The sequence below is a fragment of the Homo sapiens genome, chromosome 19 (assembly GCF_000001405.40).
Source record: "Homo sapiens chromosome 19, GRCh38.p14 Primary Assembly".
In the NCBI taxonomy this organism is placed as follows: domain Eukaryota; kingdom Metazoa; phylum Chordata; class Mammalia; order Primates; family Hominidae; genus Homo; species Homo sapiens.
The window spans coordinates 32,462,738-32,488,324 of NC_000019.10; the positions used below are offsets into that span (position 1 = coordinate 32,462,738).

At 40.1% G+C, this 25,587-nt stretch overlaps 1 protein-coding gene across 15 annotated transcripts in view; it reads left to right on the top strand.

Annotated features, from left to right (window-relative positions):
* DPY19L3 (dpy-19 like C-mannosyltransferase 3) overlaps window positions 1-23,153 on the top strand; it is an 80,121-nt gene extending 56,968 nt beyond the window's left edge. For 8 of the 15 annotated variants that reach the window (NM_001172774.2, XM_047438247.1, NM_207325.3 and 5 more), the window contains 7 exons: window positions 629-751; window positions 1,132-1,243; window positions 1,991-2,047; window positions 5,994-6,076; window positions 14,785-14,917; window positions 17,662-17,820; window positions 19,342-23,153. In NM_001172774.2, the coding sequence (NP_001166245.1) occupies window positions 629-751; window positions 1,132-1,243; window positions 1,991-2,047; window positions 5,994-6,076; window positions 14,785-14,917; window positions 17,662-17,820; window positions 19,342-19,503 (829 nt within the window). In that variant the 3' untranslated portion in view covers window positions 19,504-23,153. Of the gene's footprint in view, window positions 1-628; window positions 752-1,131; window positions 1,244-1,990; window positions 2,048-4,736; window positions 4,957-5,993; window positions 6,077-7,637; window positions 11,037-14,784; window positions 14,918-17,661; window positions 17,821-19,341 lie in introns of those variants that run through there. The other 7 variants (XM_047438249.1, XM_047438253.1, XM_047438251.1 and 4 more) reach the window with 4 other exon arrangements.
* The last annotated feature ends 2,434 nt before the right edge of the window (window positions 23,154-25,587 follow it).

Consider the following 25,587-nt stretch of genomic DNA (forward strand, 5'->3'; position numbering starts at 1 on the left):
AGTTCTTAGATCCTGATTCAGAGAAACCTGAAAAAAGCAATTGATGCAAACAGGGAAAATAGAACATGAACTAGGTATTAGATGATGTTAAGGAATTATTGTTACTTTTATTGGGTGTAATAATTTTAATGTAGCCGTATTTGGTAAAAGTCATCTTTTGGATATCAGGAGGTATTGGTAGGTTAAAAATGTGATTTTTGAGGGGTCATAAAGGAACTGAATTCCAAGTTAATGGATGTGTGTTTTGCTTTTGCTTATTTGTAAAAATTTGAAAAATACTCATAATAACTGGTAAAACATCTTTTAAAAATCTCTTTCAATTTCAGCAATTCCAAAAAATTTGAGTTTTTTTTTTTGCATTCTCTTTTAATTTAAAGAATTGAAGCACTTTAAATTTTTACTTCAAAGCTGCTGTGAAATTTCAGTTTTTCTCATTATTAATGCATTTATATTGTTACACTTTAGCCTCATAAATTCAAAATTGATCAATGCGAATTCATTTCATCTTATGGAAATAATCAATTTCTGAATACATAAAGGCATACATTTCTTGTATCTTCTTCTTTTACAAAGATCTAACTAAAATTATGTTTCCAGCTTAAATTTTGTATGTTGCTGTTTTACTCAGTGATTCTACAAATCAACAATCCGTGGGTAAAATGGAAAAAGGCACAGTTGACCTGAAACCAGAAACTGCCTACAACTTAATACATACCATTCTGTTTGGATTCTTGGCATTGAGTACAATGAGGTATTTTTGTCTTACCTGTTTGTTTACTTTTTATTTGATCACTCTTGATGTTACTTAGCAATATAATTTGGAAAGTGACAATCATCTTCATTAATGATCATGGTTCCCATAAAATCATCCTTATATCCTATCTTCTCTCAGTATAAAATACTCAACATCAGTTTTTACAATTAATTACAAACACGCCTCTATGTTTTACTCAAAGCATAGTCTTGAAAAGGCAGTGGAGTTAAACAACGAACCCTTCGGCAAATGGCATCTGCATAGTTTTAAGTAAGATTTTGCCGTCATAGACTGTAAAGCTGCCTTTATAGGTGTCTCAGAATCCAGGTTTATATACAACTAGTACTTCTGACTTGCGCCTGTGTCTGTTCTTGCAGAATGAAGTACCTCTGGACGTCACACATGTGTGTGTTCGCATCATTCGGCCTATGTAGCCCTGAAATATGGGAGTTACTTCTGAAGTCAGTCCATCTTTATAACCCAAAGAGGGTCAGTGTCATCCCTTTTTCCATCTCCTTTTATGACTTGCAGTATTTCTTTCATACCACTTCTTTTTTTGTTTTTCAGTAGCTGTGAGATAAAATGGATACTGAAATTGAAGCTGAAAATACATAATTGATATATTAAGATTTTATAGGGAATTATTTTAAAATAATTTTATTTTAAAAAATTACTTTTTTCTCAGACTATAAGTTAGATATGTTCATTATACAGAATTTGGAAATACAAAAAAAAGCACAAAAGGGGAATTAAAATTACCAATAATCCCCTTGTCCGGAATTATAACTGTTGTTATTATAATGTATTTTCATAAAGATAATTATTTATATATGTATGACAATTTTTCAGTAGCCTATAAATGCAGTTTTGAATTGTTCTACTCCATAAATTCACTAGGTGGCAATATAGTAGAAGCTGCAGATATCTTACAAATGATTAGAATCCTAGTATCGACTCAGTTATTCTGCATATTGGAGACTTGTGCTCCATTAAATTATATTTCTGGTAATTTTTTAAGGCATATATTTACAAAGCAAAACTGTAAGGCAGAAGTGTTTAAAAAAGCCGGGCACAGTGGCTCACTCCTATAATCCTAGCTGCTCAGGAGGCTGAGACAGGAAAATCACTTGAGCCCAAGAATTCCAGGCCAGCCTAGGCAAACATAGCAAGACCCTGTCTCTCAAAAAAGAAAAGGTTCAAAATACTTATAATCTAAATAATGTCTTTCTTATATAGATATGTATAATGCGATATTCAGTACCGATATTAATACTGCTGTATCTATGCTATAAGGTAAGACTGATTTTCCTCATTCTTGTCATTCATGTATTTAGCAGAATAATTGCTTTGATTCAATATATTTTGTGTATTATTTGGCAAATAGAGTGGTTTGTGAAGGTTATAAATACCTCCTTAGCTTCTTACTGAAGGTGACATTGATGGGAAAATGGATCTTTTTCCCAAATAGTTTTAACAAGTAAAAACATGATAGCGAAAACTACTATAGCATTTAATAATTCTAATTAATTTTGATTTAGACTCTTAATATTCAGCTGATGCAAATTCTGAAAATAAGGTGTTTTCAGACCTATTTTGAAATGAAAGTAGGAAAATTATTTTCCCATTACCTGATTTATATAGACTAAGAGATTTTTAAATGTATCTTACTTTAAGCTCCATATTTTATTAGATGCTTATCTTCATAAGAGAATTAGACACATAAATAAACACAGCCTAAGGCTAGGCTTTTTAAAATCTGTTCTTCAGTATCAATAGGAAGTATCTGGATTTTTCATATTCTCATTTGACTAGTTTCTGAAACAGCATGAACTGCCCTTTAATTCAGAGAATTTCTTATCAGAGACAATGATCATTGGTCAGGTTGACTGTGGCTTTTTGTCACATCTTTGACATTGGCAGTCTTGAATCATCACTAGGGCAGATAGCACAGACTGTTTTATCCAATTGAGCTTCTGCCCTCTCTTTTTAAAGAACCTAACATATTAAGTTTATATTTTTTTTCCTTTAAATTTTACTTTAAGTTAAAACGACGGATTTCAAACTCTACTGTGTAGAACCCCTGATTTGGGAGGGTGGCTAAAAGCAGGGGTGATGGGACCTCCCGCAGAGAGGATCAGCTAGAGCAGCTCAGCTTTGGGGTTTATTTGCTTATATTTTCATGTAGGATTTTGTGAACCAAAGGTTTCAGGCTAAAGAAAATATTGCTAAATACTATATTGTAAATATTTCAAAAAAATGTGTTCTGTTATGAGCCTGTCTATCAAAACATTTACCATTAGCAAAACTCTGTGCTAACTCCTAGATATTAAAAAACACACAAATAGATTTATGCCTCCCCACCTCTGGGAATTTTATTGCTCTAATGCGAATAACTGAAACTTACTAAAAACATCTAGACACGAACAGTTAAGGATTAAACAGTATATGTTACTGAGGAGTCCTGTCAGTTTACCTTTACACAATGATTCAGTGGATTAAAGCACCCTCCTCACAGAAAAGATAAAGCTCATGAATGTTTTTCTCACCACTGAAGATGTACCGAACAATAACCATCTTTCATACTGCCCGTGTGCATGTAGGTTCAGTTCTTTTATGTCTCAGCTATCTATTGAAATTTTACTGATTTTTTTAAGCTATTTGAGGACTGAGGTGTTTTGTTCGTAATAAAATTGAGGAAGGACATTGTATAAGAAGTAAACTGTCCTAGGGAGCATTGATTCTTGAAGCGTGGTCCTCAGATAAACAGCATCAGCGTCTCTTGGGATCCTGTAAACATGCATGTGTTTGGGTCCCACTCCAGACCTACCGAATCAGAAGCCTGGGAGTCCAGTACAGAAATAGGCATTTAACCAGCCCCCCAGTTTTAAGAACCCCCTGCTGTAGCGGTCACAGGGTTTCTCAGCAGTGGCACATTGACACTTGGGCCAGAGAATTCTTTGCCGCTGGGGGCGGGGGCGGTCCTGTGTGCTGTAGGCTGCTCTGCGGCAGCTTCAGCCTCTGCCCGCTCATTGAAGCACGTCTCCCCTGGCTACAACCAAAAATGTCACCAGACATTGCCAAATGCCCTGGGGCTGGGGCTAGGGGCACAATGTCTCCCCTTACTCATCTTGAAAACCACTGCTATAAAAGAACTGGGACAGCTAAAGAAGCCATCATCTCCAGGAAATCCTGTTGCAGGTTTTCCCTGAATAAGGGAGTTAGTATCCTGAGGAATCCTCCAAAAGACTGTTGGCCTAGTCTCTCTTGATACAGGAGTTTAGGAGAAATCCTAATGCATTCAGCTTTCACTGTATAAAATAGTTCAGATATTTCATCTCCACAAAACTTACATAAAATCACAGAGAAAATTAAGATGGTATGGGTATGAGGGGTTACCCTGAAACTGAATCTGTTTTCCAACTATTCCAGCTCTTACAGACTTACCTGTAAGTAATGTGAATTCATATATTTCAAAGCCTGATTTCAGTTTTACATTGCAATTGTAGTTAGAGTTTCAAAATTTCTTGTTCATACTACCAATTTTGCTGTATTTCTCTTTAGTATAAGCATATTAAAAGGGAAAAAAGCATGTACTAGCCTGCACTCCGAAGTCAAGACTTTAGTAAAATTAGGACGTTGGTCTTGATTAACTTAATTGGATTGCTGAAATCTCTACTGCTGATTGGTAAAAACGGCAGTTAGTTAATTCAGCACTTTCATATTGTTAAAGGAGTTTGCCGCAAAATTCTCACTAGCTTTTAACATTTTCAGAATTAATAACAGTAACTTTCAAACTAGAAAAATATCTAATATTCATTGAGTTCACAGATTTCAAATATGTTTATACTGTAAGAATTAGAGCATTTCATTAAAAAGTTGGTATTCTATTGGTTATCAAATTAGTAAGGAAACATAGATCATTGAAATATTACAAAGGCATCATTTAATCAGTAATTTTTACTACATCTCTTCCAAAAACTAGAACCAGAAGTCCTGACACCTGATTTCCCATCACTAGCAATTTTCCTGATTCACCCACCCAGGAGACAAGATTTGAATGAGCAGTAAAAATGGCCAAAGATGAGATGACCAAAAAAACAGTGATAGGTCTCAAACACAGCCAGAGATCAATCAGGTGCTGCTTTGATTCTACTAGTGGTTCTTAAATAAAAGTATTATATTTTCTACGTCAGTGGAGCATACATACATTGTCATTGGTCTTCTATGCTAATATGTGAAGTGAATTCTACCTTTGACCTTAGAATGTATATAGATATGATCAAGTCTTTTTAGTCAACTGTCATTTGATAAAAACAATTAAGATTTAGTTAATTGTTGAATTAAATGGACTTAAGATATTAGATAAGTGGGTAATTCAGAGAGTAATTTTTACATTTTATTTAGAAAACCTTAAGTACTCAAGTTGACCAGGAGGCACCAAGTGGTATAAATACAGCCAGATGTACCAGATATTCCTGGAGAGCCCTACATTTAAATATTATTCTCTTTCATTGTACCAGCAATTATATTAATATATGTCAAACCATTTGACCAGATTTCTAGTACAAAAATACAATCATGCTATTTTGAAATGAAAAGGGGGCTGGATTTGGAGCCAGGGTCCAGGTTGTAGCTCTGCCGCTTGTGACTTGGTCAAGTCAGATACCTCTCTGAGCCTCAGTTTCCACACTTCTAAATGAAAAATAAATCCCAGTGGGTGATGCTGCCTGTTGCGTCATCCATGTCATGGGTTATTGTGAGGATAAAACAAGGCCGTATTCTAAAGCATTTTTGCAGCAGTAAAATGGCTCTGTCTTCTACAGGATACATTCTACTTTTAGGGGTAAATTGCATGGTATTAGTTAATTACATATTCCTAACGGATTGTGAACTTTCTCATGGTTGGCATTCTTGTCATGTCAAAATAATGTTTTGCCAGGTATTATCATCACATACAATAGCATTTCTATTGGAGCAAAATAAAAAGCTCATTTTTTAAAGTTGGCGATACCTCACATCCTAATTAGTTTCAGCTGAAGATAATTTCAGAAACTTCCCAGGCGCTAGTTCCCTTGTATTAGGAGGGTTGCTGCAGAGGTGAAATAGTTGTATATTCCAGTAGCTATGTTTATTTAGTTCACACATTATATGCAGTTTATCTTTTTTTCATTTAATCTTAGTGATAGTTGTGGGTGTAGGGGTGGATTTTGTTTTTGTTTTGTTTTGTTTTTAATTTCAGTTCTGGCCAGGAATGATGGATGAACTCTCCGAGTTGAGAGAATTCTATGATCCAGATACAGTGGAGCTGATGAACTGGATTAAGTAAGAGGATTTTTTTTAACTTTTAAAATTTTAAGTGCCTTTTAAGAGTCACTATAGACCACATTTCGTTTTGGGGGTTTTTTGTTTGTTTCTGAATCTAATTACGAAGAAACATTCGTCCTTACTAGATTTTTCTTTAAAACTCCATATTTGAAAATAATGTCTTTCTATTTAAGAAATATTCTCTCCAGCTATATCTCATGAAGAAAGGAAAATACCCATTTGGAGAGGAAAACCGATTCAATAAATAAATTTCAAACCACTGACAGAAATGGCAATAAAAGTTTATAATATCTGTTGAAACTTAAAATTTGATGTCTCTGCCAATTTTATGTTTATTATTTTCATTTTAATACCATTCTGATTTTCCACTAATGGTGACACTTGAAAGTATTCTTTCTGGCCGGGCTCAATGGCTCACGCCTGTAATCCCAGCACTTTGGGAGGCTGAGGTGGGCTGATCACCCGAGGTCAGGAGTTCAAGACTAGCCTGGCCAACATGATGAAACCCCGTCTGTCTCTACTAAAAATACAAAAATTAGCCAGGCATGGTGGCAGGTGCCTCCTAGCTACTCAGGAGGCTGAGGCAGGAAAATCACTTGAACTCGGGAGGTAGAGGTTGCAGTGAGTCAAGATCGCGCTACTACACTTCATCCTGGGCGACAGAGCAAGACTCTCTCTAAAAAAAAAAAAAAAGAAAGAAAAAAGAAAAAATATTCTTTCCTTGTTTTTTAAATTATACTGTAAACTCCAGTTAAGTAGAGGCTCATGACAGCTCAGTGCGGATTTCATGTTAACTCATCATATTGCCAAAGCCTAGGACCAGAGAAAATTTTAGATACAAAACCTGGAACTTTCCGTCTTGAATATCATAATGCTTTAGTGTCCTATTGGCTCTTATTTCTGCCGGCACTTTGTTGTTTTGCCTCAGCATTCAGCATCAGAATGAAATTTGTGTATTTCAAAGCTTTATTAACAAAACCTGCCTCCCACCAGCAAAAATAAACTTTTCTACCCAGAGCACCATTCCTATGCCCTGGAACACTGTATTTCCCTACTTTTAACCAGAAAGCAGCAGTGTAATTATTCACATGTAAATAGAGGCTGTGCATCACATGTGGTGCCTTCTGAAAGCATTGGCTGGATTGTCTGCGTCCCATGGCTAATGCTTACTCACCAGTACAGGTCAGCCCTGCGTGTCTGCAGAGATGGTCAGTGCTTGACAGCTGAGGCCTCCCTAGGGCAACGCATGGATCTCATAGAGATTTGTCTAAAACATACACATGGCTTTGGTCCTAATGTCGGACTGGGTTTGACTAGATGCAGTGAGTATAATTTTTCACATATTTCTGGTGCTGAGAGCACTAAGCGTTGCTTTGTCTTTATTTAATTTTAAATCATGCCAGACGATTACAGAGTAAATAATTCCTTCAGTATTTATTATGTACAAGGAAAGAGAGTTATTCGTGTAAAGGAAAGCTAATTACTTTTGCATTAACTATAGTCAGCTGGAAATTTATGACGTACATCTGAAGTTGAGGCTGATATTTTCTGTTTTCAGGACTATGCTGTTGAAATCAATGCTGAGGACCCCTGCTTTCTGGTAGCATGCTGAAGGTGGTGGGTCTTCCGGATCTCCTTAGATTAGCACCATAAACACCCCAGTCTTTCAGGAATTAATTATAAAGTCATTAAAAATGTATTCTAGCAGAGCCCCAGGTTATCTTCGGCAGTCTCAGACTAGATATATTTATTTGTAGTGCCTTTATTTTTATGCTTTTCCCCACAGAAAATTAAAATAACATTTCTGGCTCTGAAAAACTGGATGAGAGATGATTCCAGGTGTAAAGAAGAGAATACAAGTGTCCTATTTCCCTCGTTTGGGAGGTGATGTTCACTCCTCAGACCCTCCTTTTGCTAACAGCTCGTCTCCCTGTAGTGCTTTTGTAGTAGACATATTCCTTTGGCTTTTTTTTTTTTTTTTTTTTTTGTAATTCTCAGCAACTGAAGGATTTGCCTTGTTCCAAAAAATTTGTTCTATTGTGATCTAGTCTCAGCTTTTTCCCCTAAAATTCTTCAAATCTAAATAATATTTTTGTAAAACTAGCTGCTTGGTATGTTTGCAAAATAAGCATAAGTGGTGATGAATGTATGCCAAAATAGGGTCTATGTAGACATCAAATATGTTTGTTTAAATCAACACTCAAATCCACACTGGCCTGTAGGTGTGGATTCCAAACTCAAGTGACTGCCTTAATATTCTTTTAATCTGCCCTGATTTCTTCTGTTTTTGAAACGTAAAATATGACCTTCAAGTTTCACCTCACTGCTTTGATTAGTCACACGGTATCCATGTTATTAGCAAGTATGAGTTGTGCTGGAGAAAAGGCTGCGGCCTAAGGACTCTTTCAGACGCATGGGCTGTGTCTGAAAGAGTCCCAAGACGCCTGGCAGAGAACCAGCACTGTCCCTGAGGGCTGCCTCTGTCCTCCCCAGCCTGTCTTCCTGTCTGCCCTGTTCCCAGACAGTCAAAGCAGACACACTCAAATGTCTGTCTTCTGCCCATGCAATCATCACGGCATCTATCGGACAGGGGCACAGCCTCCATTAGGGGAGGGATGGCTGTCCTTGGGATGAATCACAACTAGAGAAATAGTGGCCTGTGGAAACCCTGGGGACACCTCAAGTGACCCTCCATTTTGGCACAGGGCACCCCTTACGTGACGTGTTGAAAAGAAGCTTATCCATCCTCTTCATCACTCACACACCTGGAAGTGTCCCGCCCCGTGTCCTTGCTGCTGGAGTAAGCCACACCCCACATGAGGCATTACGTTGTGCTCCTGGACACAGGGCTTCCGCTTGGAGATTCAGGCTTTCCAAGTATTCTCAGAGGGCTTCTCTGCTTTAAGGGTAAATTGAAAGATGTGGTTGCCTCAGTGGGAGTTGGTTCTTTTCTTTTTTATAGGCTGAAGAGATATCCTCAAGGGAAAATAAAGGGCCTTACCTGAGGGTGACACTTAACATGAGAAGGGTCATACCCAAGGGATTGGATTCCTGTGAAGACTCTTAAAGCCTTAACTAATTTATAAAGTTATTTCACATCTGAAGTTGTGCACTTATTAATATAGTTCAGCAGATGTTCATCGAGCCCCAGCTGTGTATGGGCACCGTGTGAAGTGTGTGGATGCAGGTGGCGCTCCACTGCAGCTGCCTTTCACTGGAGTAACCGCTGGGCCTCGCCTCAGCACAATTGCCCTCATTCTTTTCTCCCGAATTCTCACCCTCGACTCCATTTTAAGATCTTCAGTGGCTTAGCAAGTTCAGTGGGAAAGTTTTTTTTAGAATTCTAATTTTTAGTAATAGAAAATGTTTTATGCTTTCCTATCTTTAGCTCCTAAAAGGAGTAGAGATTGAAGCTTCAGTATGAAACCAACAGTGTTTAGGGATTAAGTTGCTCTTTTTTACAAGGATGGTGTGACATTTGACATGTTGTTAAAGTCAGGGCCCCAGGCTGCGGTAGCCCCAGCCGCCTTCCCTAAGAGCTGGGAGGCATGTCCAGCCTTCCACACCCCAGCCTTTGTGCATTCACCTGCCTGCTGCTCTCCACGCTACACCGATGCATTGCATGCCTTGTTTTCAAGCAGAATTAAATGCATATATTCATATTTACCCTTCTCTGCTGATAAGGTTTCCTGGATACAAAGATTAAAAACTTGGATTTTTTTTTTTTTTTTTGCCTTCTGGTGTCTCTTTCAGCAAAAGTCAGGCGGTAGTTTTAAAGGTTTTCTGTGCAATTAGAAAGCACGTTTACCTCAGCAAGGCTGAATGCAACCACAATCTGTGGTTTCTACCTTGTTCCTTTGTGTCCTTGAATGTTTCATTTTTCGTTCCTGAAAATTTTCTTCTGACATTTTGCAAATAAGATAGGCATATCTATATATTTGCATATTTTGAGGGATGACATTTTAGCTACTTCACTTTAGGAGATTTTCACTGGAAATAGTCTCTTTCCAGTAATGAAACCCGTGTGTGCAGTATTTTCTCAATGGGTCTGAAAAAATGGACCAACTTTCTTTCACATTTAACCAAAGCAGAAAGTTCGTGTATATTTTAAATATGATGTAGGCTAAGTTCAGACCTTAAATGCCTATAAGCCTCTTTTCTATTTAATGAATCATTTTGTAGTATTTGCATAATTCTATAAATTTTTGAAGTGTAGATAAAGCAAATGTTCACACATTATATTATAATGCTCAGTTTCCCCATTAGTTCAACAGCAATTAACTTGTTGAAGCTTAGAGCTTCAAAAATAAATGAGATTATTTGTTCAAAATGCCATCAGGTCTTCCTGGAATGACATTTAAATTATATAATGTAAATCCATTTGACCTGTGAGTCCTTGTCATTATTTAGTGACATTTCTTACAGAACAAATTGTGTGCAGGTTGGGCAGCCTGCTATGGAGCTTGGCAGAGAGCTATAAAAACAAATTATCCTTTCATTTTATACATCATTTGTTCAAACATTTGTAAAAATTGCTTTGTTTTTCTATAATAGAGAAATGTCATTCAGTGGTTAAAAGCACATTAGCTATTTTAGATACAGACCACAGACTGTATCAGGCAAGAGTGTCTGTGAAGGAAGAGCACCCAGCATTATGTCCATCACTGTGCATGTTTTCAGCTAAGGACAACGGATCCCTTCTCCCTTTGCCTGCTAAATTTACCACAAAATAGAAAGGACAGTGAATATAAGTATCTTTTTAAGTTTAGAAATGTGTGATTGTTTGTTTCTCATTTTGTTCCACTTTGCTTGTAGCTTTTCCTTTGGCATTTGCCTTACGGGTAGAGTGAAGTATTGGAAGTAGCAGTGATATTTCCCAGGTTTACCACGGAGCTGGCGTATGAGACAAAGCCACATGGCATGGAGGGAAGAAGCATCATCCCTACTGTCCTCAGAAGTCAGTCATTTTCAAATAAGTGTTATTTTTGGTTTTATTTTATTTATTTTTTGAGATGGAATCTCTGTCGCCCAGGCTGTAGTGCAGTGGCGTGATCTCGGCTCACTGCAACCTTCACCTCGTGGGTTCAAGCGATTCTCCTGCCTCAGCCTCCCAGGTAGTGGGACTACAGGCAGGCGCCACCACACCTGGCTAATTTGTGTATTTTTGGTAGAGATGGAGTTTCACCATGTTGGCCAGGCTGGTCTCGAACTCCTGACCTCAAGCAATCTACCCACCTCAGCCTCCCAAAGTGTTGAGATTACAGGCGTGAGCCACTGCACCCAGCCAGAAGTATTATTTTTAATTCATCTTATAGGCATGAGGATATATGTATTTTACTGCTTTAAAATAAAGCCAAGTCCTCAGTGAAAGAGTATGTTAACAATCCAGATGATTGTGGCACTAACACATTAAATAGATTACACTTCTTTTAAACTTTCTGACTTTTTGCTAATAAGGCCAGACATTAAGACAGTCACAACTTAATGAGCTTCATTCCATTTTTTCTTTCATTCCCCTGAGCAGCCATGTGTCACTCGCTCTGCTGGTGATGGCCCTGCTGCTGCCTTGGGGCTGCACCTGCTAGGGGCCGGGGATGGGAGCCACTCAAGAGCTCTTAGAGCCTGCTGAGGAGAGAGCATCTTCAGTGACTGCTGTTTCATTTCCAGCTTAGCTGAAGGCTTGCAGTAAGCATTAGTAAATACGTGATACACTAGGCTCACTACAGCACTGGGTTATTTTGAAGTGTTTGTCTGTAATGGGAGCTGTTAAGTAAGCTTTTTTCTTTTTTTTTGAGTTGGAGTTTTGCTCTGTTGCCCAGGCTGGAGTGCAGTGGCACGATCTTGGCTCACTGCAACTTATGCCTCCCGGGTTCAAGTGATTCTCCCTCCTCAGCCTCCTGAGTAGCTGGCATTACAGGCACCCACCACCACGCCTGGCTAAGTTTTGTATTTTTAGTAGAGACAGGTTTCACCATATTGGCCAGGCTGGTCTCAGGCTCCTGACCTCAAGTGATCTCCCCACCTGGCCGTCCAAAGTGCTGGGATTACAGACATGAGCCACCACACCTGGTCTAAGTAAGCTTCTTGAAGACAGGTTGTCATACCATGTTTGCCAGCCCAGCACGTAATAGACCCTCAGCAATATTTTTTGAATAAAGAACGTTATAACTCCCTAGAGGGCAGTTTAGGACTTTGGGCATTTAAGCCTTTGTGAACTCTGTAATTCATCCAAGGGCTATGATTATAGTCCAGGAGGCAGGCTGAAACCTTAATCATTAGCTGTGGCTGGATAACAAGGCCTGTCATCTCTGCTGTAATTATAAACTGCATGCTACTATAGCTTTGTGCATCTTCTTGGTGCTGAAGCTGCACAGAGATTCCTATTATACATTCAAAACGGTGATGGTGAGATAGTCTTGTGATTGGAATGGATGTTGGAAGCTCAGCTGCCGGGTTCGTCTTTTGTGTAGAAGGCCAGCTTGGCACTGTTCAGGCAGTGAGACTACAAACCAGGATCATTCGCCTCTGATAGCTCTCGCCTCCACCTCCTGCTCTGCCAGGCGTGGAAACCAGACTCATCATGTTCTCTCTGCATCCTAAATCTGTCTAGTTCAGAGGACCAAAGACAGCCACTTTTTGGCATGGGTGTGTCAAGTTATCGTATCGTTGATTGCTGTGGAATGGCTCATGCCAGTTGAGAGTATTCAAAGGAAAGAAGCCTGGCTTGGAAAAATGGTGGCACTTTAAAAAACTAATATTTGTTCATACTTGTTTCCTTTAGCAATTACACTCTAGGTAAGGGTAGCACAGTACACAAGGCCCAGAGTAAGTGTTTAGTAAGTGTCAGTTGAATTAAACTGAATTTCAGTAAAACCTTTCACTAAGGAATTCTGTGCACCTTCACGTTTTCATTGAAACCCTCTTATTCCTCTGACCATGTGGGACAGAATGTGAGAGAGTCCCTGTAAATTGTTGATACGGGGAACAGAGCTAACATCTATTTGTTCTTGTTCCTGGGTCTGTCAGAATGACAAGCTCTCAAGTGCAGCCAAGCTCATGTGAAACTTTTTTCCTGCTGGAATCTGCATTCTAGACTCTGGCATGGGAGAGGGGATGCATATTATGTGTCATTATGTATGCTCATTGTCATTCCAGCCACTTTTTTTCCTCACTTAAGAACGCTTATTGGAATGCAAGTGAATGAGAGTGTCATTGTTAGAAAGAAAATCTTGAATTTTTCAAAAGTAAACTATTTGTAAATGTCACAACTTGAATTGTGGGATGTCTTGCTTGTAGACATCCAAGGCCTCTGTTGGATGGCATTCACGCTGGAGTCTTAGCGCTGAGTTGGAATAAATAAAACATCCTGGTGGGATGTATGAATGTGATGAGGCTTCTCTTAGAAACCGCAGCACCAGAGCTAGTTGCGTGCCCTGCTCCAAAACCATGGAGAACAGCCTGCCATGGCTTTTTCTGCAGAGGATGTTGAATTTTAATGATTTTAAATAAACTCCTCATAACCATCTTCCTCATTTTAGTTCAGTCCAGCAGGCACAGACTCCTCTCAATGCAAGAAGGATAAACGCAGCCCGCAGTGTCCTCAGTGGGCCTCTGTGGGAAATTCTGCACTCAGGAGAATCCCCAGAAGAGAGCTCTTAGGGCCTCCTGAGAAATTAACTCCTTGACCGCTTACAAGTGACTCTCAGGTTTCCAAAAAAAAAAAAAAAAAAAAGAGGAAAGGAATTAAATCAGCTACTAAGATTCCTTTTTTCCAGGGAGGAAAAAGGAAAAATGCTTTTCCTATATTCTGGGAGTCTTTTCTTGGTCCCTAGTCCCTGCCCCTCACACCCCTGGAAGACAGAAAATCGTAGCGTGGTGGGAACTGGAAAGTGAGTTTGTGCCTTAGTATTAGGGTGCCCCGTGTTCCTTAAACTGCATATAGTTTCTCATAATCAGGACCAAAGGTATATGTAAAATAATTGCGTTTTCACATCAGAAGTATTTGTGTATCCCCCATATTAAGTAATAAGATATTGGCTATTTCAGAATCTTGTTTCCATGTTTTGTTGTTGTTGTTGTTGTTAATTCTGTTTTTATTTATGGTGGTATCTGTGATTTTTTTCCTTATTGCTTTTTTAAGCAAAAACCCTTGGAACTGACTCATGATCACCTGCAGTTTCTGGCTTGATGATTTGTTACATGTTGCTCTAGGTAGCTCTTTTGTTAAGTTCAATACGCAAAGCAGTGGCAGTCTTTTAGGTTATTTTTGTTAGACTCTGCCCCTCTGGAACAATAGCAGGAGAGGATTGTGGGTCTTGGCCTAGAAGCCTGGACTCAAGAGCTACACTGCCTGCCTTCTAAGACAATTCCTTATAAAAGTAAACCTAGCAAAACAGTAAGAAGTTTCCCCACCGTTATTCTGGTGAACAGTCAAAATCATACAAAACATTGTTGTAAAAAACATGGGGCTGGTGCAAAAGTAACTGAGGTTTTTGCCATTGAAAGTAATGGCAAAAACCGCAATTACTTTTGCACTCAATAGTTTGAGTACAAATCAAAACCGAAGCAAACTCCCGTTTTTTTTCCCTGACTCGTAACACTTGGTAACATAGCTGGATTCTTCTGAAAAAGTTTGATATTGTCTTCTTTGTTGTCTTTAAGGATCTCTTAACAGTGGGGTTAATTCAGACTCTAAAATCTTTCAGCTCTAACACTCCAAGAAAGGCTGTGTTTGCGGGAAGCATGCAGTTGCTGGCCGGAGTCAAGCTGTGCACGGGAAGGACCCTAACCAACCACCCGCACTATGAAGACAGCAGCCTGAGAGAGCGGACCAGAGCGGTGAGGCTCCCCAGTGCCTCCCCTCGCTTCTTGTGGGCCAGCTATGGGCTGCGTGTCCCTATGTGTGGTAAAGATGGGGCTGAATGCTGCACCCTCCAGCATTAGGTTAGGAGGATGAATTAGTCTGTTTTCACGCTACTGATAAAGGCATACCTGACACTGGGCAATTTACAGAAGAAAGAGAGGTTTAATTGACTTACAGTTCCACATGGCTGGGGAGGCCTCACAATCATGGCAGAAGGCAAGGAAGAGCAAGTCATGTCATACATGGGTGGCAGCAAGCAAAAAGAGAGCTTGTGCAGGGAAACTCCCCCTTATAAAACCATCAGATCTCATGAGATGTATTCACTACCACGAGAACAGCACGGGAAAGACTTGCCCCCATGATTCAGTTACCTCCCACCAGGTCCCTACCACATCATGTGGGACTTCAAGATGTGATTTGGGTGGGGACACAGCCAAACCATATCAGAGGGGAAATCAGAACGTAAGTGCACAGGGCTCGCATCTCCTGGTCCAGGACCTCTGCCTGCCCATATCCACTAAGGACGTGCCATTAGACCACAGGTCCTCCCCAGGTCGGGACCTCTGCCTGCCCATATCCACTAAGGACGTGAGGTTAGGCCACAGGTCCTCCCCAGGGAAGAACCGAGAAGACACACGCCTTGAGATGTGCAGAAGAGCGCATTTGGGAGCAAAGCTTTTGGATTAGGGAGGGGAAGGAAAAGGCGTTGAGGCATACTGGTCACGTTTCTTATGGACCTTTCTGAAGTCTGGGGTTTTTGTTTTTTAATAGATAATAATACAGTCTCATAGTTCAAAATTCAGAACATACAAAAGGAAATATGGTGAAAAGTGCCTCTCCCATTATTGCAGTTCTTAGTTCCCCTCCTAGGAGGCAGATAATGTTAGCAGTTTCTTGTGTCTCCTTCCACAGGTATTTCACGCATATACAAATATGCGGGGAGGGTGGTGCCCCTTTCTCCATTTTTACAGAAGAAGTGGCATTCTACATTCTGCTTCTTCGGCATTTAATGTGTTTTGGAAAACATTCTATATTCAGTATATTAACAGCTTCCTTCCTATTTTTAAAGCTGCTTAATATTTTACATGGATGTGGCATATTTTATTTAGCCATTTCTGCTGTTTCCCTGTCTTTTGTGATTATATGAACAATGCTGCAGATAAACTTGTCTGCACATCACTCTTTCCAGGCACGGTGTCTGTCTGTACAGCAGATTCTTGGATGGGGAAGTGCTGGGTCAGGGTTGTTGACATCTGTAGTGTAGATCGAGAGATGTTATCAAGTCCTCTCTCTACAGGTTGTATCTGTTTACATTCAAGTCAGCAGTGCAGGAAGGTGCCTGTGTTCCTTCATCCTCACCAGTCAGGTTTCAAACTCATAAATGTTTCCTAATGTCACTTTTTTCATGTTGGCGGTTGAAAAGTTGTTGAAAAAGTCTTGTTTTGAGGTGAGATTTGACTAGCCTAAAAGCAGATGATTTTTACTAATCTCCTGTCTTGTATAAGAATCATTTGAATTCAGACTCCTGCTAAAATAGGAATTTTTTGATGGGCTGAAGTGTTCCAGATAGTTCCAAATTAACTAGGAGGATGCAGGAAAGGGGCTCCCTGGCTTTCCAGGCACCAGGTTCATCAGGGGTGGCCTCTACTGCTTGGACTGGAGACTGCAGAAAAGACAGGTCGAGTGCACAGAACGTCCTGGGCATCTCCTTTCCTGTCTCAGTACTAGGGTTAGGCCCCACACACTGACATCCTCAAGGCCCTACGGCTCTTCATCAGGACCCTGGAACCCTTGGAATGCCTTCAGCCTGAGACCTTGTGCTGGACTGTAGGACAACACAGTTGTCACAGTAACAGCATCCTACCTCCCTACCATTTCACCCATCCATGTGGACACATCAAGTTAGACCCTCAAGCCCAAATCAGAAATCTAGCACTCGAAATCAGGGTGCAACAAAGGAGGCAGTGCCTCTCTTCATGAACCCCCACATTCAACACCTCACACAGCCTGTTTCCATTCCAGCCCCAGAATCTGGGACGCTCAGTTTGCATCCATCCACTGAGGGTGTGTGGCACTGGTATGAACGTGAAGGGGGCCTCCTGTGGCGTTGCCCACGGTGTGCTGCAAGTGGCTCTCACCCCTAGGATGGACGAGAGGGAGAGGAGCAGTGGGGTCTCTCAATTAGCTGAGATGCGGAGTAGCAGGTAAAGCAGCCAATGCTGCCCCAGCCTAGGAGCAGAGACCCTACAGGGATCCTTCTCCCCACCTACCAGTTTCAGAAGCTGGGGCTCTGCCTTATTGGGACGTGTGTCCCTCAGACTGTCCCATCACCCTTAATGGGCCATTTTAGTCTGGGGGTCCCCTTTTTAAAGGTAGAGACTGTGTCTTATTTACTCAGCCCTGTCATTTACCTTGGGAAAGCAGTCTTAGAATTGGTGCCTACTGATGAATATAGTCCTGACTTGAAGTAATACATTCTGAATCCAGATGTGTTCTTCCTGGCTCACTCTCTTCCCAAGGCCGAGCACTCACAGCGTTCTGGGAACTTCCACGCACACACTCCAGGCCTGCAAATGAGCGAGTGCAGCGTGGCCTGGGCTGGAGAGAGCACCTTGGGTGTTAGGTCTTAGACTCAGCCCTGTGGAAGGTTACATCACATAGTTAACTCCCTGGCAGTCAAGTAGCATTTGCCACATTGCATTTTTATGTCTTTTTGAAGGTTTATCAGATATATGCCAAGAGGGCACCAGAGGAAGTGCATGCCCTCCTAAGGTCCTTCGGCACTGACTACGTAATCCTGGAAGACAGCATCTGCTACGAGCGGAGGCACCGCCGGGGCTGCCGACTCCGGGACCTGCTGGACATTGCCAACGGCCACGTGAGCATGCTGCCTCTCCCTGTGTGGGGGTCTCCTGGAGGGGCGGGACTCTGATTTGAATCCTAAGAATGTGAATCTTTTTATCCTTAATGTCTAGTTGAATTACGCTACGAATCAAGTATTTGCTTTTTCTCTTGCTTCCTACAGAAGCCCTCTCTTGGCACTTTAGTGACTGCCACCGGGGCTGGGCAAGGGAGAGGTGAGAGGGGAGCCCTGGGTCCCCAGTGTCACACCAAACAGAGCAGCTCTGCCTTCAGCTCATTTGTATGATGGGGCTCTGCATAAAATGTATCTGTGAAGGATTTTGCTGCTATAAACAAAACCTCAGCCTTTAAACCCACTGCTCCAACGCTTCGTATTGGCTAGCTGCTGCATGGCAGGGATGGTGGGGCCCTCCTGCCCTCCGGTCTAGGTGGTGGATTCCCCCTACCCCTCCTGCCCTCTCCTACTGAGTGTCCTGTGTCCACTGGTGTGTTTCCACAGGCCGGCTTTCAGAGGCTAAGTTGCACTCCAGAGCAGAAAAGCAGCAAGCCGCTTCTCCCTTCTCCCTTCTGAGGAAAGTGTTCTTGGAGCTATGCCAGGTCTCAGTAGAGCAAACAGATTTTCACCCTTTAGAGGTGTGATGTGTGCTGTAATTAATGGTATGAAAGCCAATAGATATTTGTAAACAAGTTGGACAAAGTGACAAACCTAGCCTAAATTTGAAAAAAAAAAATCTTGACTGTACAGAATTTGAGATTCAGATTTTTGCCCGAGGAGAATCATAGTTCATAACTGTCTTGAGTTCAGAGGTGGTACAGACCAGAGACATCCATTTAAATTTTGATTTGAGCGTGACTTTTTCAGTTATTTATTTATTTATTTATTTATTTTTAGAGACAGGGTCTCACTCTGTCACTCAGACTGGAATGCAGTGGCGTGATCTTGGCTTACTGCAGCCTCAACCTTCCAGGCTCAAGTGATCCTCCCACTTCAGCCTCCCAAGTAGCTGGGACCACAGGCATACATCACCATACCCAGCTAATTTTGTTTATTTTTTGTAAAGATGGAGTCTGGCTATGTTGCCCAGATGAGTCTCAGACTCCTGATCCAAGCGATCCTCCTGCCTCAGCCTCCCAAAGTGCTGGGATTTCAGGCATGAGCCACCACGCCTGGCCTAAATGTGACTTTTTCTGATGAGTTAGAGAGCTTTCTCTGATCACTGTAGTTCTCTGTATTTCATTTCTATGAGAGAGACAGTATAGTATGTTCCTGAGAGCAAGCAGACCTGAGTTCTAGTTCTGGCTTTCCCGTTAATGGGATCATCGTGTGACGCTGCACTCTCCTTCTCAGCCTTGGTCTGCACTTCTGAAGGGGGAAAAGGATGGCCCTGATGATCTCCAGGTGCCCATGGACATTGAAATAATATAATTTAATTTCACTCACATACCATTCTTAAACCCAATACCCATTCCTGCTCCTACTGTCTTTTGTAAATAGAATTTTCCCCCCAAATTGTATTTGGGTTTGTTTTGGTTTTAGATGATGGATGGCCCAGGAGAGAATGATCCTGATTTGAAACCTGCAGACCACCCTCGCTTCTGTGAAGAGATCAAAAGAAACCTGCCTCCCTACGTGGCCTACTTCACCAGAGTGTTCCAGAACAAAACCTTCCACGTTTACAAGCTGTCCAGAAACAAGTAGCGCAGATTTCTGCCCAGTGTCTATTTTTGATACGGAGAAACTGCATCATGATGAAACTCAATAGATGACGTTTCCTATGTAAGTAGGTAGCCCAAACCTTCAAGCTGTGATATGAGTAAGTTCTACAGATGTTTACACAAGTGTTGCCATCTTTGAAAGCATCTTCTACAAGCAGAAGTCTTTTTCGTTGTGTGTCTATCTTTCTCATTAATGTTCTTTAGCCTAAATGTTAACAACTTTCTAAGAGTGACCTAGAATTATGTTGTTGGAGAGAATGATGTGTGTTCCATGGATACCTGGATAGGCACATAACATGTTGGAAGATGAGCACCTGCTCAGGATTTGAAATACGTTTAATTTTCAGGTGACTTAAGACAGCTATGATTGAATCAACTAGAGATGATGATCGACTTATTTAATATGATTTCACTGGTGAAGACCAATTGGTAGCTTTTTAAAAAGCACTTTAGTGTCCTGTTTTACCTTAAAATGTTATAATATTTTCCAGTTGTCATGCTGTCAACATTAACAAAAAAAATCATGTTAAGGCTTTGTATCAAACATTTTGTTACACTCTGTCTGAAATGTAATGTGGAGTACTTCAGCAGTATGTGTCATGTATTGTGTGTGTCTGTGTGTGTGCATGTGCACACATGTGTTTTAATGCTGGGCACAGAAAAGTGTTACAAGTTCCATATCGTAAGTCCTTAAAGGGGCAGAAATATATGTAGCCAAGTAGAATTTATTACATTTTAGTGTTATTATTTTAAAACTTACTGATACTCTTTAACCTCTCCTGCAGTAATAGTTTTGCTTTATTTCTTACTCATTTCAATTTATTGGGTTTGCAAAATTTTGTAAACTTTTTGTGTTTTTAGCCTTTGTATTTTTTACAGCCTAGAATCTTGCAAAGTCTGAATATTTTTTAAATGTTCTATCTTAACTAGTTCACTAATACAGTATTTTTAGCAGACAGCATTTTCAGACAGCATTTTCATACCAAGTTTGACTTGTGGTCTCCAATCTTACTGGGAAGGCCCTGGTAGTGTAATTCTTTTCCTTATTAAAAGGTAACCAAGTGCCTCTAAGTCATGCTTATTTGTAAACAACAAAGAAGAGTATATGTACCTGCTCAAAATTTTTTTGATAATCGCTTATATAATTAATTTCTAATGATGAGGACATGTAAAAGTTGCCAGTAAGAACATAGTATGCATTTAATTAAATCAAGATGGCTAATGGAATTAACTTTCTCCCCTGTTCTTGCCAGGTGGAAATGATTTAAGCATTTCTCCTTGCAGTTGTATTGAAGTAAATTACCATAGGCATCAAGATGGCTGCATCACATTTTCAAATGATTTTATATTCAGTTGCTACTTATAAAGCAGCATTCAAAAAGTCTTTTACACTGTCATGTTGGACACAAGCAGACTCAGCTTTTATCAAAACTTGTTTAAATAAAAAATTGACAGTAGCTGGGTTATTAAATTATGCAACTGAAACTCCTGAATTATATCTTTTCTGTATCCCTTAATAAGATTGGAGACCACTGCCGTTTAGGATAATACAATAATAAAACGTTTTAATCAGTACTAAAACTTTAATTAAGCCAATAATGATGCATGCCTGTTGTAGCTGACAGCATGGGTCAGTACATCCTTCAGCGAGTGCCTTACTCTAATTGAAACCAAGCACACGTAAGGTACAATATGTTAGACTCTGTGATTTTGTTTTCAAAATCCTCTGTTATGGCTATATTTAAATTTATTTTAAATATTCCTGTATGTATTCATCTAAGCATTTGGGCATTTGGAGTCTTAATATACAAGAAACACGTACTTAAATTTTTATGCTTATCACCGCAATGATGGCAAACAGTGATTTTTTTTTTCATAGTTTAGGTGTCATTGTTGCCAGCACCTTTAGTGCTCAGTCTTCAGTGAAAAATATAAAGTGCCAAAAAAATCTTGCAAGACAGAATCCATACTTAACACTCTTTCCAAGACACTGTGACCATGTACAGTAGCTATTTCCTGATGACCAAATCTCTCAACGAATCATGTTATTAATAAATATTTTTAGCACTCATCAGTATTCTCCAATGTGACCTTCTCATTGGAGTACACAGAAGGAAAGCAAAGAAGAGCATCTGACTTCTAGCTCTGGCTTACAGCCTCTCTACCAGGCCGAAGCAAGAGACCCGCGGCAGCAGCTCCCCGCCACTCAGACCTGGGTGGTGATAACCTCAAAGAATGGCTCTGTTTTCTATTGACAGAAAACCCACTTGATTTTGCTTCTGAGTTAGCAGTCAGAAGACCCTCTAAGTACAATAGAAGTGCTCTTAACGGACTCTGCCTGTGTGACTCCCAGGCCCCGGAGTCTCCATCTCTCTCGTAAGCCACCTGCCACAGCACAGCTGGAGGCTGTTCTCTGGTGTTCTCAGCGCTCCGGCTCCCTCCCTGGAGTTGTGCACCCGTCCCAAACTCCTCCATGCAAGTTCTGCTTCCTCTTATAAGTACACAACTCAGTTAAGTATTCACATACACACAGAAAATACGGGTGTGAAAAGAAAGAATTTTCTGTAAAAATTAAGTTGAATACTTTGGTAAAAAGTGATAAAGGCTGAGTTGCCAATAAAAGTTGCTTTTAAATTAGGTGTGGCTGGGAATATTATAAGATATTGGGGAAAATATACAAATCAAGAAAATTTCTGAGCTTAGATTGCTTCATAGATTTATTTAAGTACTCATCCCACCTTTAAAACCTCTAAACTGAGAAGAAGGGACCCAAATCATGTTATTGGTGTGATTTATGTGAGAAGTAGAACTGTAGTCATTGGACCCTTAGGCAAAGGAAAATCCGTGTCTTTATATCAGAAGATCGGCAAACGAATGTATATTACACAGTTTAGGTTATGATTCCCTACTTTAACCTACTTACTTTATTAAATGACCAACTACTGATACTGATCACAATAGTTATTAGAGATTCTAATTTAGTTGGAAGGTTCTAATCACTTTCATTACAGGCATTTGAAAAATAGGGATTCATTTCGAATATATTAGCCAGGAGCATAGTTAGATGTTACCCAGGCCATTTATCATCCTGTTAATGATGATTTTCCCGACCCTTGTGAGATCAGCGTGACAGGAGTGTGTGTGTGTGTGTGTGTTTCTGTGGGTGTGTGGTTTTGGTTGGGTGCTGCCAGGTGGCAAAGGCATATGTAAATACATCTGATCTGCATCTTTATTTCACAGTTAACTAAAAGTAAAAATGTCTATTCTGATTCCATATTGATTTTGTCTAAGATGTAAAAATTTGAGTTCATCTTTGGCCAAAACCTACCTGAATTAACATACAAAATATTTGATTTTTAAAATTTAATTCAAATCTCAAAATCAATTAAGTATTCTCAGATCCTATATCTTGGTTAATATGCTCCCAGATACTTTAAACATGGCAACCTTTTGGCCTAAGAGAATGTTTGTTCATGGAAAAAAGCTTTTGAGATGAGAGGGTGTCTTACTTTCTTGTGGCAATTGATTTTCTGTTTTAACACCCTTTGGGTAAAATCTTGCAAAGAGCTTTTATAATTTGTTTTACTGAATTGTATGGAGATTGTATACCAAGTAAAGCTCTTTTAAATTACATAAGATGAGTGTCTTGCATTTCTTTGAAGGTCAAAGCCCAAGGAACCTGCTTGTTGAAGTGCATTAAATATTTGCTAAATAGAGTAAATCACTAAAGGTTAGTGTGTCTACTAAAAATACAAAAAATTAGCCGGGCATGGTGGCGAGCGCTTGTAGTCCCAGCTACTCAGGAGGCTAAGGCAGAAGAATGGTGTGAACCCGGGAAGTGGAGCTTGCAGTGAGCCGAGATCCCACCACTGCACTCCAGCCTGGCCGACAGAGCGAGACTCTGTCTTTTAAAAAAAAAAAGAGTTTTTCACCTAGATTAAGTCAGACCCACCCAATATAATCTCCATTTTTGTTAGCTCAATTGTAATTGTTAGCTTAATTGTGATTGTTATTGTTGAGGGTGTTTATTTTTTAGAATGGAATTTGGTTTGACAGCTGCTTATTTGTTTCACTTGAATTCCAAGGTTATAGTTTAGATTTATAAGGAGAAGACTACTATCAGCAGAATTTATCCTTGAAGAGATAAATGCTAGTTTGACCTCAAGAACAGTTTCTACTTGATTAAATTCTGAGTCTTTAGTAATTCAGGAAGATGGGTGGTAGTGCACCTGCTTGGTTGGAGTGTATAGATAACAAATGTTTGGACTGTTATGTTCAAAGCAGAAGTTGAAATTTCAAGCAAAAATGGTCAGACAAAATGGAAAAAAACTGGCAGTGAGGTCTCAAATATTCTGTACTGACAGGTGGTCCCTAGCAAAATAAGAATAATAATATAGATAAGCAGGAGATGTGGGATATGAATGAACTGACATGGAATGGGCTGACATGGACACCAGGCACTTGACAGATGAAATGTTTTTTTTCTCTGCCCCTCCTTTCAGATAAGGTGTCTGAAACTCATTTCATAAACCTTTTCGTTATTATTTAGAAGTTTGCTTTATAAGATTGTTTTTCAAAATGCAGATAATAGAACTATAGTATAATGTGAAGTCAATTTCATGGGTTACAACCAACATTTAAAAGGAAAGGAGGGAGGGAGGGAAGGAGGAGGACAGCCTAATGTTAAATATAAGTGCTGTTTTGTGGATTATCTATTCCAGTTATAGGTATTCATTTTTGGGGGGTACAATATAAAATATATTTCTTCCGTGAGTTATAGTCAGGCTGAAAGCCAGGCCTTTATTAGCTGAGGGATTCTGGGAGGATGGCAGCTTGAACTTACCTGTGTCCTTGCCCTCTGTGCTAGCAGAACTGTCTGAATGAACACTGGTGATATTAAAGAACTAGCATAATGATAGAGAATGGCTGGGCTCCCGGCTAAACCCCACCCTTAAGCCTGGAACCCTGGCCCTAAGTGAAAACAGCTGACCCTGTTTTTCTGCCCAAATGTTGCCTTTTGGGGCTGCCATGCCCCTATCCTGTGCCCATAAAAAGACTTCAGGTGGCAGAGCAACACAAGCAGCTGAACAGCAGGGATACAAGCTGCCAACTGGCGGGAATACAAGCAACTGAGCAGCAGAGACTACAGATAGACCCAGCTAACTTCAGATGTGGCTTCAGGGAAAGATCACCTTCCCACACCATCCCCTTTCCAACTCCCATCCTACTGAGAGCCACTTATATCACCCAATAAAATCCTCCACATATACTACCCTTCAGTCCATTCATGTGACCTGATTGTTCCTGGATGCCAGACAAGGACCCAGGTGCCAGGAGGGCAGGGGCTTGGATGCTGCTGTGGGGCCCAGCAGAGCCTGCCTCCTGCCAAAGAGGAGCAACTGTCCTGTTCCAGCCTTCCTTCTCTCCGGTTCCTGCACTCACTTGCTCGCATACTCCCTCTCATGAGGAGCAGCCAGCAGCAGGCTGAGTGAAACAGCCACTCCAGTTTTCACCCATGAAGGGGTTCCCTTGAAGGGAACAGTCCCATCTCAATAATTCTTATATGTGATATGGACATTTTCTTAAGTTTCTTAAGTTTCTTTAAGGTTCTTAAGTTTCTTTTTAAAGTCCTTATATTTTAAAATATATACTGAAATATTTACAGACAAGTATATGTCTAGGATTTGTGTCAAAATTTTGTGGGGCATCTAGATGAAACAAATTAACAATGAAAAGATATGGCTTAAGCTAGTTTGGAATTTTTATATAGTGAAAAGAGAGAAATTAGACCCAACGAAACAGACTGAAACTAGGAACAAAACTAGGAAGATAAAATTTAGGAGATAGCTGAAATCAATCAATGCAACAAATAGTAGAAAGGATAAATAAATTCAAAATTCAGTTATTTTAAAATAAAGCAGTTAAACACTGGGCCAACCTGATTAAGACAAAATAGCAAAAATATACAACAGTAGAAATGTAAAATATATAATTCCAGAATCAGGGATAATAATAATTATATGAGGATAACATATGCAATTCTGTAACAAAAATAACCTATAGGAAA